At 37.3% G+C, this 16,762-nt stretch overlaps 1 protein-coding gene across 11 annotated transcripts in view; it reads left to right on the forward strand.

Annotated features, from left to right (window-relative positions):
* Positions 1 to 16,762, forward strand: part of SNX25 (sorting nexin 25) — a 174,406-nt gene that overhangs the window by 42,406 nt on the left and 115,238 nt on the right. For all 11 annotated transcript variants that reach the window (NR_186775.1, NM_001317781.2, NM_001423234.1 and 8 more), the window contains exons 2-3: positions 652 to 736; positions 12,206 to 12,422. Coding sequence is in view for 10 of the 11 variants with exons in the window: in NM_001423234.1 (NP_001410163.1) it covers positions 652 to 736; positions 12,206 to 12,422 (302 nt within the window). In the remaining variant the exon portion in view is untranslated. The remainder of the gene's footprint in view (positions 1 to 651; positions 737 to 12,205; positions 12,423 to 16,762) is intronic.

Consider the following 16,762-nt stretch of genomic DNA (forward strand, 5'->3'; position numbering starts at 1 on the left):
TCCTAGTCTATCATTTACATTTCGATTGCATCATCTTTTGTGAAACAAGAATTTTGTATTTTAGGTAGTCAGATTTGTCATTTTTTCCCCCTTCATACCATTTGGATTTTGTGTTTTATTTTAGAGAAGCCTTTTCCATTCCAAGATTATAAAAAGCTGCTCCCTTATTTCTTCTTAATTCTTTTTTAGCTTAAAACATGTTTAGCTGTTTAATCTTTTTGGAGTTATTTATATACAGAATGTAAGACCGTAACCTTTTATTCCCATGTGAATATCAAATTATTCCAACATCATTTGCTGAGTAGTGTGTGGTTTTTATCATTAATTTCAAATTCTTCTTAAGAAAATTATGTTCTTAATTTGCACATATATAGCTACATCGGTTTGTTTACTCCCTACCATTGTGTTGATTTATTTATTCCTATACAGTCATTATACTGTTTTGATATCTGGTAGGGAAAATCCTTCCTTAATTTTTTTTCCAAAAAATTTTAACCTTAAGCATTTATTTACTTTTGTGGAAAAACTTCTGTTATTCGTTAAGCCTTATCTTAATGCTTGTTTAGATGGCATTTCATACCTTTGATTTTTTTTTTTTATGTGATTTATTCATTCAGTAATCTGCTTTGTATTTTTTTCCTTTCATTTCAGAGTCCTGTGTATGGAAACTCACATGAGTCAGCTCAGTCTAGAAGGGTAGTAATTTCTCATAATATGGATAAAGCTCTGAAAGAAGGTAAGGATTAAATGAGAGTATATAATTACCATGTAAAGCAATTCATTATGTTCTAAGAGGAAAATAATAATCTCCAGCAAATTTATTCTTCTTGTCTGCATGTAGTGTTAGGAATTTTTTCTTCATGAGTTTGTATTTGATGACTAAATACATCCATGTTTTGTTTGCATGTAAGGGATTTACACGTTTGTTGAGTAGGAATTTCCAGATCATGTGAAACTAGCCAGCCATGTAGAGCTAGTTCCATCATATGAAGCACAGATCTGTTCTCTCTTTTCTAAAATGGGTTTTAGGAATTTTTTTTTTCTTCTAACTATAACCTAGAGAAGCTATGTTGGGATAAATAGACTCAGGCTCACTCATAGATAAACCAGTTAAACCCAACTAAGTGATAGTAGTCTTTCAGAGGAGTGAGTTTACAATGAAGCTTGTCTTGAAGAAGGCAGAAGCAGGGTGGTGGAAGGTAAAATATGGCTATGTCTGGAAGTGGGAATAAATAAGTGTACTTTTAAATATTAAAATTTTAAAAAATATATTTTGAACATCAAATTAAGGTTTAAGAAAGATTTTAAATATCAAATTTCTAAAAACATTGACAGTTTCAGTTAATTTTCAGAAAACAAGTCATGAGTTTATCAGGTGAATATATGATGTTAGACGTGAAGTTAAGAGAGCTGAACAAGTGATATGTACATATATGTGTTTTACTCATCATAGTTCACAAAAATCACCATATCAAAATCTGAAAATGAGAGTACTGTATCAGTACAGAAACAGTTTGAAATTGTGTGGATTCACAGAATTTTAGACCTTTGGGGACATAATTAAATTTTAAAAAATACTTCTATTAGTAGTTAAGGTACAACTTATAAAACTTACTGGATTTAAAATTTGGCAATTATTCATAATCTTTAAAGTATGACTTATAAAACTTACTGGATTTAAAATTTGGCAATTATTCATAATCTCATAATCATGATTTTTAGAGTACAGGATTGGCTGGATGTGGTGGCTCATGCCTGTAATCCTAGCATTTTGGGAGACCGAGGTGGGTGAATTGCTTGAGCCCAGGAGTCCAGCCTGGGCAACATGGTGAAACTCTGTCTCTGCAAAAAATACAAAAATTAACTGGGAGTGGTGGCACATGCCTGTAGTCCTAGCTCCTTGGGAGGCTGAAGTGGGAGAATTGCTTGAGCCCGAGAGGCAGAGATTTGCAGTGAGCCTAGATTGCACCACCGCACTCCAGCCTGGGCAACACAATGAGACTCTGTCTCAAAAAAAATGTACAGGATTTATTCTTAATTGCTTTTATTGAGGTAAAATTTACATACTTTGAAATGTACAAATCTTAATTATACAATTCAGTAATTTTCATAAATGTGCATAACTGTATAACCACCTCATTCAAAATAGAGAACATTTCCATCATTCTAGAAAATCTGCCTCATGCTCCCCTTTGATCAACACCCACCCTTCATGGTATCACTTCATTTTGTCTCTTCTAAAACTTTATGGAAATGGAACCATACAGTGTGTATTCTTTTATGCCTGGCCTCTTTCACTCAGCATAATGTTTTTAGATTCATCCATATTGTGTATATCAGTTTATTCTTTGTTACTTTTGGGTGGGTGGTATTCCATTACAGTGATACAGCTATGACAATATGTTTACCCTTTCTCCTGTGGGACATCTGGGTTATTTCTAAGTTTTGGAAAGTTAGTCAATACAGTTGCTATCAACAGATATTTCAGTGGACATATGTTTTTCTCTTGGATAAATAGGAGTAGAATTGCTGAGCCATAGGATAGTTGTATTTTTAACTTTGTAATAAATTACCAAACGGTATTCCAAAATGATTGTCTCTTTTTAGACTCTCACCAGCAGTTTATGAGAGTTCCGGTTGTCTCATATTACCACCAACATTTGCTGTTGTTTTGTTCCTCTTTTAGCCATTCTGATGGGTGTATCTTACTGTGGCCTTAAATTGCATACCCCTACTGACTATGATATTAAACACCTTTTCATGTGTTATTGACAATTTTCAGATTTTTATTTGTGATGTGTCTATGCAAGTCTTTTTTAAACTTATAATTTATTTATAGTTTTTAAAATATCTGGATTCATGTCTTTTGTTAGATGTAGATACAGAAGATTTTTCTCCTAGTTTGTGAGTTGCCTTTTGTTTTCTTAATGCTATCTTTGAGTGGATGTTTTCAAGTTTGATAAAGTCCAATTTACCAATCTTTTTTTCCTCTCTGTTCTTTAGATAGATAGGATGATGATGATTTTTTTCAAGTTCACCAATTTTTTTTCTGTCTCATCTCCATTCTGTAGTTAAGTGCATCCAGTGAAATTTTTATTGCACACTTTGTGCTTTTCATGTGTAGAATTTCCATTTGGTTCTTTTTTTCTTGTTGTTTCTGCAATGTTTGCTTTTCTGCTGAGATTCTCTCGTCTGTCAATTATTATGACATTTTTATTTTTAATTTCTTGAACATATTTTGTAGTAGCTGCTTTAAAGTTCTTTTATGCTAATTCCAACATCCGGGCTATCTTGATGTTGGTTTCTGTTAATGGCTTTTTCTCTTGACTAGATGTCACTTTTTGGGGGTTTCTTCTGATGTCCAGTTGTTTTTGATTGTATACTGGACAATGTGGATGCTGCTTTTTAGACATTCTAGATTCTTTTATCTTCCTCTGAAGAGGTTTTTAGTATGCAGTTTAATTAATGGCTGATCACCTTGAAGATACTTGGTTTTATACATTTTCTGAGGATGGATGTGTTTGGATTTTGTTCTTCACCTAAAGTGAGTCCCTCAGTCCGAGGACATAGACTTAACTCCTCTGGTTCATGGCCTTTCCACAATTGCAATGGAAAGCCCAACACCGTTAGTGGAATTCTAGCTCCAAACTCTGTCTCCCTGGTGGACAGTAGTTGGAGTATCTGCTCAGCTCTTTGAGTCTTCCAGCTGTTGCTTTCCACTGGTCTCCTGTAGTCTTACCCCTATACATGTGTAGTTCACAGTTGGCAATGAATTTGAGAATCTGTACCCAGATTTCATGGTGTTTATTTCTTGCCTTTATTTTCAGCAGCCCTGGCAACTCTTAAATCTGTTTCCTGATATATTAAAATAAAAAACACACAAAAGACATTCTCTTCCAGTTTACTGCCTGTACCTCTAAGACTGCAGTTGCCTTTAGGGAAAAGCTGTGTGTAAACATGGATCTTACCTAGTGCCATTCCTTTCTTTCAATAATAGATTCCCTTCTAATTGCTAAGTTTGGTTGCTCTCAGTGCTTTTCAATACAGATGGTTCCTGATTTATGATAGTTCAGTTTATGGTTTTTTTTTTTTTTACTTTTGTGGGGTGGGATGGGGGTGTTATTAGGATGCAACTCCATCATAAGCTGAGGAACATCTGTAGTTTTTAAATTTTTTTTTCCAGATTTCCAAATTATTTTCTATAGGAAGGTTAGTCTGATATAAGCTATTCTACCACCCCTGGAATTAGAACTCTGTCCTTAATATTAAAAAAATTTTAATTGTGTTAAAATAGACATAACATAAAATTTATCATTATAACCATTTTAAGTATATAGTTCAATAATGTTTTGTTGTGTGTGTGTGTGTGTGACACGGAGTCTTGCTCCGTCGCCCAGGCTGGAGTGCAGTGGCATGATCTTGGCTCACTGCAACCTCTGCCTCCTGGGTTCAAGCAGTTCTTGTGCCTCAGCCTCCCAAGTAGCTGAGATTACAGGCACACACCACCATGCCCAGCTAATTTTTGTATTTTTAGTAGAGACAGTGTTTCACCATGTTGGCCAGGCTGGTCTCTAACTCCTGACCTCAAGTGATCCGCTTGCCTCGGCCTCTCAAAGTGCTGGGATTATAGGCATGAGCCCCCGCACCCGGCCTTAGTTCAGTAATGTTAAGTACATCCACATTATCATGCAACCAATCTCTAGAACTGTTTTCATCTTGCAAAACTGAAACTCTTTACTTATTAAGTGACAACCCCTTTCTCTTCCTCCAGCCTCTGGTAACCACTGTTCTACTTTTTGTCCCTATGAATTTGACTAAGTATCTTACCTAAGTGGAATCATATAGTATTTGTCTTTTTGTGTTTGGCTTATTTTACTTAATGTCCTCAGGTTTCATCCATATTGTAGCATGTGACAGGATTTCCTTCCGTTTTCAGGCTGAATGATATTCCATTGCGTGTGTGTGTGTGTGTGTGTGTGTGTGTGTGTGTGTGTGCCACATTTTGTTTATCCATTCACTCATCAGTGGACACTCGGGTTGCTTTCCACCTTTTGGCTATTGTAATTGATGCTGCTATGAACATGAGTGTCTCTTTAATTTTTGAAGACTTAGAAATTTCTCTGTACTTAGACGTGACCTTTATTTTAGACCAGTTTGTTTCAGAAGTACTTGTGGGGAAAAAAAAAAGACAGGATAAGGGTTGAGGCTTACTTGGCAAAAACATTATCCTGAAGCTAATTTCTATTCAGTGATTTCTTCTGAAAGGAAAATGTTTTCCAAAGCCTTTGGGTAAGCGTTTCAGTTTATTATACTTTGCTTTTTTTTTTCTTTTTTTTTAACCACATTCTTAATGTTCACAATTTTTTTTACCTGTCCTTTGCTTTAAAGTGGTTTTCAGGGAAAAGCTGCTGAAGTTCAGCATTATATAAGCTAAACAAAAGGAGAGCTAGTAGCTGCTAGAAAGTTAGTTATTGGGAGTAAAATTCATGCATTTGGCAGTAGTTCTTCAACAGCAATAACAACAACAAACAAAACTAGAATCACCTTCCAAGAAAAATTTGACCAGTTAATTTTATGGAGAATTAGAATCTAGAAATGTATATTGAGAAGGCTAAGAGGTTTCATCAGCATGTAGAAAATCTTTAGTGGTTATAATTTGCATCTCTGGAGTGGTTTGATTTACATTTCTAAACCCGGCACCAATATATTTAATTGGAATTCAGAATGTTATTAACTAGCTATAATAGATTTAATATTAATCAAATTGAGGGTCTCTGTACATTTGCAAAACATTAAACAATATACTTGTTAAGGCTGTAGTAATTTGAGTTCGGTTATACTAAATGCTTATGAAATACTTACCTAAAAATCTCCTCCTTGGAAGCTAATTTAAACTAGAGAACATTATGGTACCATTTTATCTTTATATATCTATTTTATTGGTTTTAGAGTGTGTAATTTAAAAACATTTAAAGAGTTAAGTACCACATAAGGCATGTGTGTGTGTCTGCATGTATACATGTTCTACATGTTTGTGTGTAGATATTTTTGTCACTAAATTTGTGCTTGTGTTGTAGCTCAGTATAAGTTAGGATTTAAGTCTTTACAGATTGAATTACAAAGAAGAAAGAAGTAATAGTCAAAAATGCAGAGCAAAATAATATACTCCAGCTTTCTGTGGAACAATATGAAATACTAGAGCTACAAATGCTGGAAGTTAAATGGCACACTTGAGGAAAGTGATCAAAGCATATGACTGCTCTGTTTTGTTAGCCAGTTTAAAATGTAAAACTATATTTTAGGGGTTCAGATCTAATATGAATGAACTCTTCTTTTTGAGAAGGCAGAACAGTTACCCTTCTGTACCAGATAGCTTCAGAAGATTCTCCAAAAGCTACATTTACCAGAAAACTGACAGAAGATAGGAAAAAGACGACTTCTAAAAATCTTTTTGACTTACTATTAAATCTCAATAGATCTATTGCCTAATTTTCACTAGCCTGCCCTAAACCATCTCTAATGTGAACCAGATAATTTAATTGTATAATTATTGAGTACATGCTATTTGTTCAGTGGTGTGTTCAATGTTAAATTGAAAGTTCTTGAATTGAAAATATAATTCTTTTTCAAGACCTTGGGGATGCTGACCTCAGAGTGTCTTATAAAAGACCCTGTCTGCCACACAGAAAACTCCGAAAAACAACAAAACCCCAGACGTTGCACACAAAAAAACCCACTGTCTGAATATCTTAGAATTAAATACCGTTACCCTCATTTTTTGCAATTAATGTTACATGTACATTTCAGACTTTTTTTTCTTTTCTTTTCTTCTTTTTTTTTTTTGAGACCGAGTCTTACTCTGTTGCCCAGGCTGGAGTGCAGTGGCATGATCTCAGCTCACTGTAACCTCCGCCTCCTGGGTTCAAGTGATTCTCGTGCCTCAGCCTCCCGAGTTGCTTGAGACTACAGGCATGAGCTACCACGCCCGGCTAATTTTTGTATTTTTAGTAGAGATGGGGTTTCACCATGTTGGCCAGGCTTTTCTTGAATTCCTGAGCTCAGGTGATCCACCGGCCTTGGCCTCCCAAAGTGCTGGGATTACAGGCGTGAGCCACCATGCCCAGCCTACATATACATTTCAAAGTGAGCACATTTCAGCTAGTTTTAATTGGCTCTTAATGCTTTTCTGAATTTCAGTGGTAAATATGCCCATAAGTAATTGTTACATACACAGGGTCATAACTTGAAAACAATCATGACAGCGGAAGATACTGCAAGGTCATTGTCAAAGTATAACAGAAATTTTATGGAGAACAGAACTTTTATGTAGAACTTTTAACAGCTTTGCAACAGGTCCTAGGTAAGGCAAACTTTATGTGGTAGTCTTTTTTCCAAGGCCCACCGTATGGCTGTTCCAGATGTCTGGCTGCCTGGGAATTAGATGGTGGCACAGAGGAAGCAAGGCTCGCATGACTTTTCCCACCCTTTAGAAAGCTCAACTCATCGAGTTCTAGTTCATGCTTTTCTCCCAGTGACATGCAATATGTATACTTTTTTTTTTGTTGGATAAATACATAGCTCTATCAATCACATAAACTAATAACCCCAAATCTTTCCAGAAGATAACTTTGCATTGCATTTTAAAACTTTACAAACCATAAAAGACCATCTAAATGAACAATAGAATTGTTGCTGTTGTTGTTTATCATTGTCATTAGACAAGTTTCTGGTTGAATGAGGACTGTCTCTTTGTTCTAAGAGACCCAGGCGTGGACTTTCATGATCATGGGGCTGTACCTCATGGGCAGGACATGTATCTCTGAATCGCATTTCTAAATCGCTCAGGGGAAAAGACAAGGGTGGGAAAATGGCCCTCTTGAAGCTCTCTTTCTTATACTGTTTACTTAGCTCATTCCTTGTTCTGAAAATTTGTGGGTAGCGATTACCTAACATCCTGTTGTCTAGACTAACGCGGGAGCCTTTTAACTTGTGTCCTCATCTATAGTTTTTCTCTACTTTGTTACCCTAAATCCTGTTTTCAGGTTAACCTAACTAAAACTAAAGTTCCAATCATGTTACTTCATTCTCTCTCATCTCCAGTGGCCTCCTTTTTACCTACTCATTTCTTTGAGAGCAGTTCTAAAACTAGATATACTTGAATGATAATAGCACCTGAATTTGTGGTGGGTGTTATCATGCCTTTAGAAGAAAGATTTTTTTGCCTGGTAGTGAGGATAAGTGTTCTTTCATTTCTCATTGTGATTAATTGTATTGTTTCTGTATATTTCTTTTTTTTTTCTTTAGTTGGCGTCTTGACCTTGAATGTTTATTTCTTAATAAAAGCCATGAAATAATTTTATGGTTACGAATTTCTCTGTCTCCTTAAGTTGACCCGTAGGGTATGTTTTAAAGTATTTTGTTGATATGTGTACTTGTGTAAATTAGTTTATATGGTTATATAATGTATATTTAGAATCATGGCTTTGTTTTCTTCTTTATTTTTTTTTTTGAGACAGAGTCTCGCTCTGTCGCCCAGGCTGGAGTGCAGTGGCACAATCTCGGCTCACTGCAACCTACGCCTCCTGGGTTCAAGTGATTCTCCTGTCTCAGCCTCTGGAGTACCTGGGATTACAGGCGCCTGCCACCACGCACGGCTAATTTTTGTATTTTTAGTAAAGACAGGGTTTCACCACGTTGGCCAGGCTGGTCTGGAACTCCTGACCTCAGGTGATCTGCCTGCCTCAGCCTCCCAAAGTGCTGGGATTACAGATGTAAGCCACCACACCCAGCCCGTACTTTTTATATTTAAGTTATGTATAGTTTTTTGATACTTAGCTTGAAGAGAGGTGTCGTTGCTGGGATTACAAGTGTGAGCCACCGCACCTGGCCTCACTCGTTGGTTCTGTTTGTGTCTTGTACAGCAGTTTTACAAAGTACAGCCTTTTACATATATTTTTTCATGTAAATGTGTTTTAAACAAACTGGATATCTAGTGGACGAGGATGCTATTTTAGGTTTTGCCTATCTTTTACTCATGCAGCTTATCTTGTTCACCTATGTGCAGGACTACAGTGTGCTGAGTAGAAAGAGTGATTGGCAGGTAGGAGTCTTGACTTTGCTACCTCTTTGAGCAAGTTACTTCACTTCTTTGAGCCTCAATTTCCTGAAGGGACGAAACTCACTTACTATGTAGGAACTGTGGTCTATTTGTTTGTTGCCAATAAATGAGATTATAGGATCAACCCATTCCTGTTTTTGCAGTTTCATCTGGGTCAGAAACCATTTCCGCTGTTTTTCCTTAATGGAATAGTACCATTAGGGATGAGATGTAGCTACTTTTTGCAAAATCTAGAAAACATAACAACCATAGGTTCAAATTAATATCTGAAAATGAGCAGAACGTGACTGAGAGTTTCATGTGCCTTGTTTTCTGGTTTTGCTTTTGTTTTACCTTCCTTTTTGTGTCCAGTGCTTAGTGATACGGATATTGATTCCACCTTACAGACTAGAAGCCCTCTATACATTTTATTTGCTGAGTAGTAAAAGATTGAGATAGATCTTTTTTCTGTCTTTGGCAATTAATTGTTCTCAGCTGGAAGGCACAGTTATCTTATCCCTACAACTGAGGCTGCTGGAATCACTCTGAAAATTTATCTAAACCTTTGTGTCATTGTTTGTGAACAAAAATCCTAATGCTGTTGCATGTTTTTGAGTTATGAAATTTAAAATGCTGTTTTATAAATTGCTATAAAGCTGAATTGCAAAAATACTGGAAATGTGAAAAAACATTGAATATACTTCCATGGTTGATATTTCAACCATGAAAAAAGCCATCATAGAATATTAATACCAAAATTGTGCTTCCTTTGACCTGTGGGCACTTGCAAATATGTGATTCCATTGCCATTCAGTTTTCTAAGAAAAATGACTCTCCCTCTCCCCACCCTCCAATCCCTCCCCCCAGAGAGCTCACCTAAATTTCTTTTTTTTTTTTTTTTTTTGAGTCAGGGTTTTGCTTGCTCACCCAGGCTGGAATGCAGTGGCGCTGTCTTGACTCACTGCAACCTCCACCTCCCAGGCTCAAATGATCCTCCCACCTCAGCCCCAAGTAGCTGGGAATATAGGCGTCCACCACCACACCCGGCTAATTTTTGTATTTTTTGTAGAGATGGGGTTTTGCCATGCTGCCCAGGCTGGTCTCAAGCTCCTGGGCTCAAGTGTTCCTCCCACCTCGGCCTCCCAAAGTTCTGGGATTACAGGAATGAGCCACTGTGCCCAGCCAATTTATTATCCTGAAGCTTCTAATTTGGTGTGTAGTGGCCAAGATGTATAAAATGAACCCCAAATTCTAGGCTAAAAAATTATTTGACACGTATAGGTTAGTTGTTCGTAGGGAATTGTGAAGTAGATCTGGTTCACGTAGGATTCCCAGGGATAAAGTAGTGTGCAGACAAGCAAAGAAAAGCAGGAGGATAAATTATTTATCTGAAATGACATCTGCAATTAAGCCAAATCAAACAGTGTTTGAAAAGTGAAAAAAAAAAAAAAAAAAACCTCTGAGAAACAAGAAGTGATAAAAAATAACCTTGGTACCCTCGAGTTGGAGCAGGAGTGTGTAGCTAAATGTTTTTCTCCCTTGGGGCCCTGTGGGGAGTCACCACCAAGCCCACTAATATTTTATTTTTCAAAAGACCTAGCTTCTTGCAAACATCACACTGGCTTCACCTTCTTTCTAAATAGGCTTTAGAAACTGTGCTGTCCAACACGGTAACCACTAGACAGCGGCTATAGAGCACCCCAAATGTGGCTAGTCCAAATTGAGATTACTGAAAGAATAAAATATAAACCAGATTACAGAGCTTAGTACGAAAAAAAGCAAAGTATTTTATTTCAAAAACGTGAGTTTTAAATATTGATTACATTTTGAAATAATGTTTTACATAATTTTGTTAAATGGATATATTATTAAAGTGAATTTTACCTGTTTCTTTTTACTTTTTTATTTTTATTGTTTATCTTATTTTTTATGAGCTTTTTGTTGTGGTATCTTTTTACTTTTTTAATGTGTCTTCTAGAAAACTTAAAACTTACATATGTGGCTCTCATATTCAAATTAGATAGCACTGGTCTATGGCTAGGCTTTCCTAATTCCAAGGTGCAGAATTAAGAACATAGGCACTAGAAATCTTCCAAAGAAGGCGACTGGCCACAGGGGCTGAGCCTAGTGTGATATCTAAGACTGATTTATGGGATTCTTCCTAGGTTAGTTGAGGTCTTGTTAGGAGACAGAAACCACACTGTAATTGAACAGAGAAAGTTAAATATAAATAATTATTAATGTACAATATGGGATTAAGTACTAAGGAGTAAAGAGAACACTAAAGAATAAGGAAGGGCAGATATAGGGAGCAGCCATTCCCACTAGGACTGAGGCAGAGGACCTTAGGACAGAAAAAATTTGGCAGAAGTTTCCTTCTTTACCCTTGGGTTGAGATCCAGGCCTTGGAGAAGGCACAACCTTGGCCCAGTTGATGGTGAAGAAGCTTGAGCAGATACCACCGGTGAGGGAGAGCCACCCATAGGATGCCAGCAGAATTCTGTGGGAAGCTGCCCTGTGGATGGCATTGGAACTTGCTGTTGGGGTGAACACCATCGGGTGCCATGCCTGCTGCTAAATGTGGCAGGAACAGTCAGAGAAGAACACACGGGAACTGGGGAGAGCAGCCCCTTCCTCCTCCAGTTGCCCTCCAGCATGTGCTACTGACAGACTTAATGTTATGCCAGCGGGCAAAGAAACTGACGGTGTTTGCAGGGCCCAGCTCCAGTATCATAAAGCAGGGCAAAAAAGCTGAACTCGGAGCAAAGAGGCAATAGACTGATATCAGGTACACTTCATAAGTGTATTGCCACTACATAAGATGCTCTGATTTTTTAATAAATTTAGGTAGTTTGGCACCAAGATAGAATATTTTAAAATAGGGCTCTGTAGGAAAATTTAGGACATGGTCACCATACCTAAACGTTCTAGTTAGATGAGAATCTTTCGTTTTAAAAGACTTAGGAATTCTCATGAGTTCTGTTTTCTCCTCTCTTTAATTTTAAACAGTGAATATTAAATAGTAGGTGGCCAGTTTCCAGTAGAAATGCAGTCTTGGTGTTTGCTTCTTTCATTTGTTTTACTCATTGCTTTGTTTATTCCTGGTAGTGTTCGACTACAGTTATAGAGATTACATTCTGTCCTGGTATGGAAACCTCAGCAGAGATGAGGGACAACTTTACCATCTGCTCTTGGAAGACTTTTGGGAAATTGCCAGACAGCTGCACCACAGACTGAGTCACGTGGATGTGGTTAAAGTTGTCTGCAATGATGTTGTGAGGACTTTACTCACTCATTTCTGTGACCTGAAAGCTGCCAATGCCAGGTAACTGTTCTAAGCAACTTACCCCCTTTTTTGCATTAATTTTTTTTAATTGAGTAAAAGGTCAAAGTCAAGATAAAACTCTAGAATATTCTGCCTATTGCTGGCACTTGCTTGAAAATGTAGATTTATTAAGGGGGAATAATTATGTTCTGGTAGAGTATTTTTTTTTTTTACTTTATGCTGGAAAACCACTTTATAAATACAATTAATTCTATAAATAAACAGTAAAATGAATTTTACTGAACCAGCACTGTGATGATCTTATAGTATTATGAGTACTAGAAATAAAAAATTTAAATGTAGTGTTTTCTAATATGAACAGTGTGAATGAGTTTACAGTATTTAGACACGTTTAAATATGGTTCATGTTTCTTTTTGTGAGTCCTATGTTGAGCTCTGTTGCATCACAATATCCTGAAAACTGATTTTCAAAGGTACTCAATATTGGAGCTTCTGGGCTTTAACTAGAGAAATTTCATTATGAAAGTAGCTAGTATTTAGGCTTGTTAGGCCTTTGTATTGTTACATACGTGACAGTTGTACATATTGGAGCTTGTGGGCTTTGACTAGAGAAATTTCATTATGAAAGTAGCTAATATTTAGGCTTGTTAGCCCTTCGTATTGTTATGTACATAACAATTTACATAAAAAGCTGTCTAACTGCAATGAGTAGCCTTCTGCCTGTGTGGATATGGACACGGTTGGAACAGGAATGGGAACAGTTAATGTGGCCTATTCTCACTCTCAGGGAAGAGATAAAGTATTTAGATGGTGTCCCCCTTCTGCCCTGTGATGCTGTTCGTGTAGGGGACCTTGCTGCTGAATGCGGCTGCACAGCAGGTCTCCATTCCCAGCTGTATTGCCCCTTCCTGGGACTCTTCTTCCCTCCCTCAGGTTTACGAGGCCAAAATCCACAGAGCCGTGACATGCCCACGGTTTTCCAGCTTGCTGCCCCAGTGTTTTGCGAACTTTTTTAAAAACTATGGCCCGCTGTGAGAAATTCACTTGATATTATGACCCAGTTTCATGAAACAGTACTTTTGTTACCTCTGATAACTTTGACACTTTTTTTAACGTTTTTTTAAAAATAATGTTTAAGACCAACTCAATTTTATTTTCTTACTTAAAAGAAAGTAAAACATTGGTTTTATTTTCTTACTTAAAAGAAAGTAAAACAATGGTTTGAAAACATTATGGTAAAGCAGTGGTTCTCCGACTTTTTGTTCCCAGGATTTCTCTACATTCTTAAAAGTTTCTGAGAATTTCAAAGAGCTCATTTCTATGGGTTCTATCTAGTGGCGAGCTGGAGCTGGCTTGTACTGGCATGCAGGAGTGAACTGTGCACAGGTCTTCCCAACCATTAGTTCAGTTATACCAGATTGGAGCTTGAAATGGGCCATGGTGAGAGTGTTTACACCATGGAATGGGCAAATGATCGAAATCAGAGCTTTTTTTTCCTCAGGAGAGCCAACATTTGCCAGTTCACTACTCATCGTATCTATTGGTATTTACCATATTTGATATTTAAAAACTAAGAATTTTTAAAAGTGCAAGAGTACACAGGACACTTTTCCTTAGCCACGGGAGTGATGATGCCATTTCACATCATGTAGCTTGAGGAAACTACTATGCTTGGAAGAATGAGACAAATGACCTTTTTATTTTACTATAGTTTTAACATCCCAGATGCCCTACAAGGATCTTGGGGACACCCAGGAGTCTCTGGACCACCCTTTGAAAACTGCTGCCTATAGAGAAAGTAACTTCCAGTAAGCAGGGAGGGGTGTGAATTAATAAGGAAAATGAGAGAAATAGGGCTCCTGAGTTACCTCCTAGAATCTCAAAAACTTCAGCCTCTCCTTTCGAAGTGTTCACCAACCTCTGCAAGCACCTGCTAATTTGCTGTGCTATCCGTTATTTCAAGTGTTCCATAGTTCCACCTGACAAATACTGTGAAAGACTTGTTTGAATTCAGGGAAAGCTCATTTGAAAGTATGTAAATGATGGTCCAGTAAGAGGACAGTATTCTGTCTGTCTGTCTGTCTGTCTCTGTGTGTGTGTGTGTGTGTGTGTGTGTGTGTGTGTGTGTGTGTATGTATGTATATATAATTTTTTATTTTTATTTTTATTTTTTCAGACAGCCTCACTCTTTACCCAGGCTGGAGTGCAGTGGTGCGATCTTGGCTCACTGCAACCTCCGCTTCTCTGGTTCAAGAATTCTTGTGCCTTAGCCCCCTGAGTAGCTGGGATTATAGGCATGTGCCACCACACCCAGCTACATTTTGTATTTTTAGTAGAGATGGGGTTTCACCATGTTGGCCAGGCTGGTCTCGAACTCCTGACCTCAAGTGATCCACCTGCCTCAGCCTGCCAAGGTGCTGGGATTACAGTGAGCCACTGTGCCCGGCTTGAGGACAGTATTTTAAATCAATGTTTATTCCAGTTAGAAAACTGATGGGTTTAGATTTGGGAGAAGAGCAAGTGGTTAGAAAAATTCAGTGGTTTTATGATTATCTAATTTCAACATGAGAATATATTTTTCATCCAGACATTTACTAGCTTTTGAAATTACTGCTTTTGTGGATAATATAAAGATATGGATAAAGCATCAGAATAATAGAAACAGAAAGTGATTTAATATTAGAAGCTCCTTCTCTTTGGGCTTCTAATTTTCTTATGCCAAGGGTAGATTTATTTTACTGGCATCTGGGCTATGCCTAGAACCTGTAGTTGATGATAAAAAATAAAGAACAAAATAAAGAAAAAAAATCCTGCCACATTTCTCCTGGATTATGGATATTTGAAAAAGTACCAGTAGGTCACTGGCATTTTTCATATAGATGATTGTGTCCTGGAGAACTAATATTGTCTAATATTGTCTGTGTAGCATCTTATACAAACCATACAATGAGACCGGCAGACAGTGAGTCCAGGTTTAATGGCAAATATCTGTATCTGCCTGCCCCAGGTAAACAGTGCTTTGTCCTAGAAATCTCCAGTAGTGTGCAGATCTCTAGTGGCTGCAGAATGACTTTGGTAGCCTGGGTAGCACCCAGTTGAATTGGCCACTATCAGACAAAGAATAATAAATTGCCTTAATAAAACAACACGTCCTTTAGTTGACTGTTGGGCAATTGTTTGTGGAGGCAGCTTTCCGGTCAGCCTGTGTTTATTTCTAGGCCATCATTCTATTGCTGCTTTAAGCCAATCCAGATCACATTTAATTCTTGCCTCTGCTTCCTCTTCCTTTGTCCCATCTGTCTCGCTCCAGCATGTTTTGGGAAAATCTAAAAATGATTGCTTTTATACTATTATTTCAATAGCATCTTTAATTTCATAGTTTTCTTTGCTGGTCGAGTACTGGCATACAGTTTGAGGGAAAAAAAGAATGTTTTTATTCGTGTGTTTTCCTTCTTTGTCTCTGAAATGTTCTTTTTCATCTTTGTAATTTCTGATTGTGGTGTAATTTAAAGAGTTGGGACTTGAGATTGAAACAGAACAGGACTTGAGAGAGTTACTTCTACCTTTTATTACCTCTGTGACTTTGACAGTTCACATAATCATTCAGATCTTAATTTTCTCATCTATAGAATACACGTGATGATGTCTACTTTTTGGTGTAGGTGGGAGGATTAAGTCATTGTACATTTGAAACTTTTTAAATAAAAGATTAATGTCCTTTTGCTCACTCAAGGAATGAGAACCCAGAGGTACGTAGTAGGAATCACAGCAAACAAATGATTGATCCACACGGAACACAGTAAGGATGCTGCAAAGACTGATGCTACAACCCACCAGAAGGCTAGTAGATGCCTCCTGCCACAGAAGCAGCCCCACCCCTCGTGGTGCTTTCTTGGCTTTAAAGCAATACTTGATGTCCACTTTCTAGAGGACATCATAGGAATATCCTGCTTGGAGTTAGTGGAAGGATTCCAGGGAGAGATCTGCCATTCCTTCTTCCATAGATCAAGCTGCTTTGGCCAGCCCTCTGGCCTTTGGCTCAGTCAGAAGTATTTTCCCTAACTTAGCTGTAGGAGGGAGAGGAACTTGTGGCAGTCTGAGTACCAGGCTCCTTTATTATCTGCCTTCCACTGTTAACGGAGAAGGGACTGTGTACCGTTTGAGAGAGATTTTGATATTGTTTAAATAAGCTTCTCTTGTAAAAGTGGTTTTTTTTTCCAACTTCCTCCAGTGCTTATTAGCTAAATATATATTTAAAAAAAGAATTACCTTTAAAAGTGCTTGACATGATAAAGGAGTAGCATCTTAATCTTACTATATTGAAATATCAACCTAGCTGGCAGCAAAGCTAGAGTTTAAAATAATTGAAGATGCCATTT

This window comes from Homo sapiens, chromosome 4, assembly GCF_000001405.40.
Source record: "Homo sapiens chromosome 4, GRCh38.p14 Primary Assembly".
In the NCBI taxonomy this organism is placed as follows: domain Eukaryota; kingdom Metazoa; phylum Chordata; class Mammalia; order Primates; family Hominidae; genus Homo; species Homo sapiens.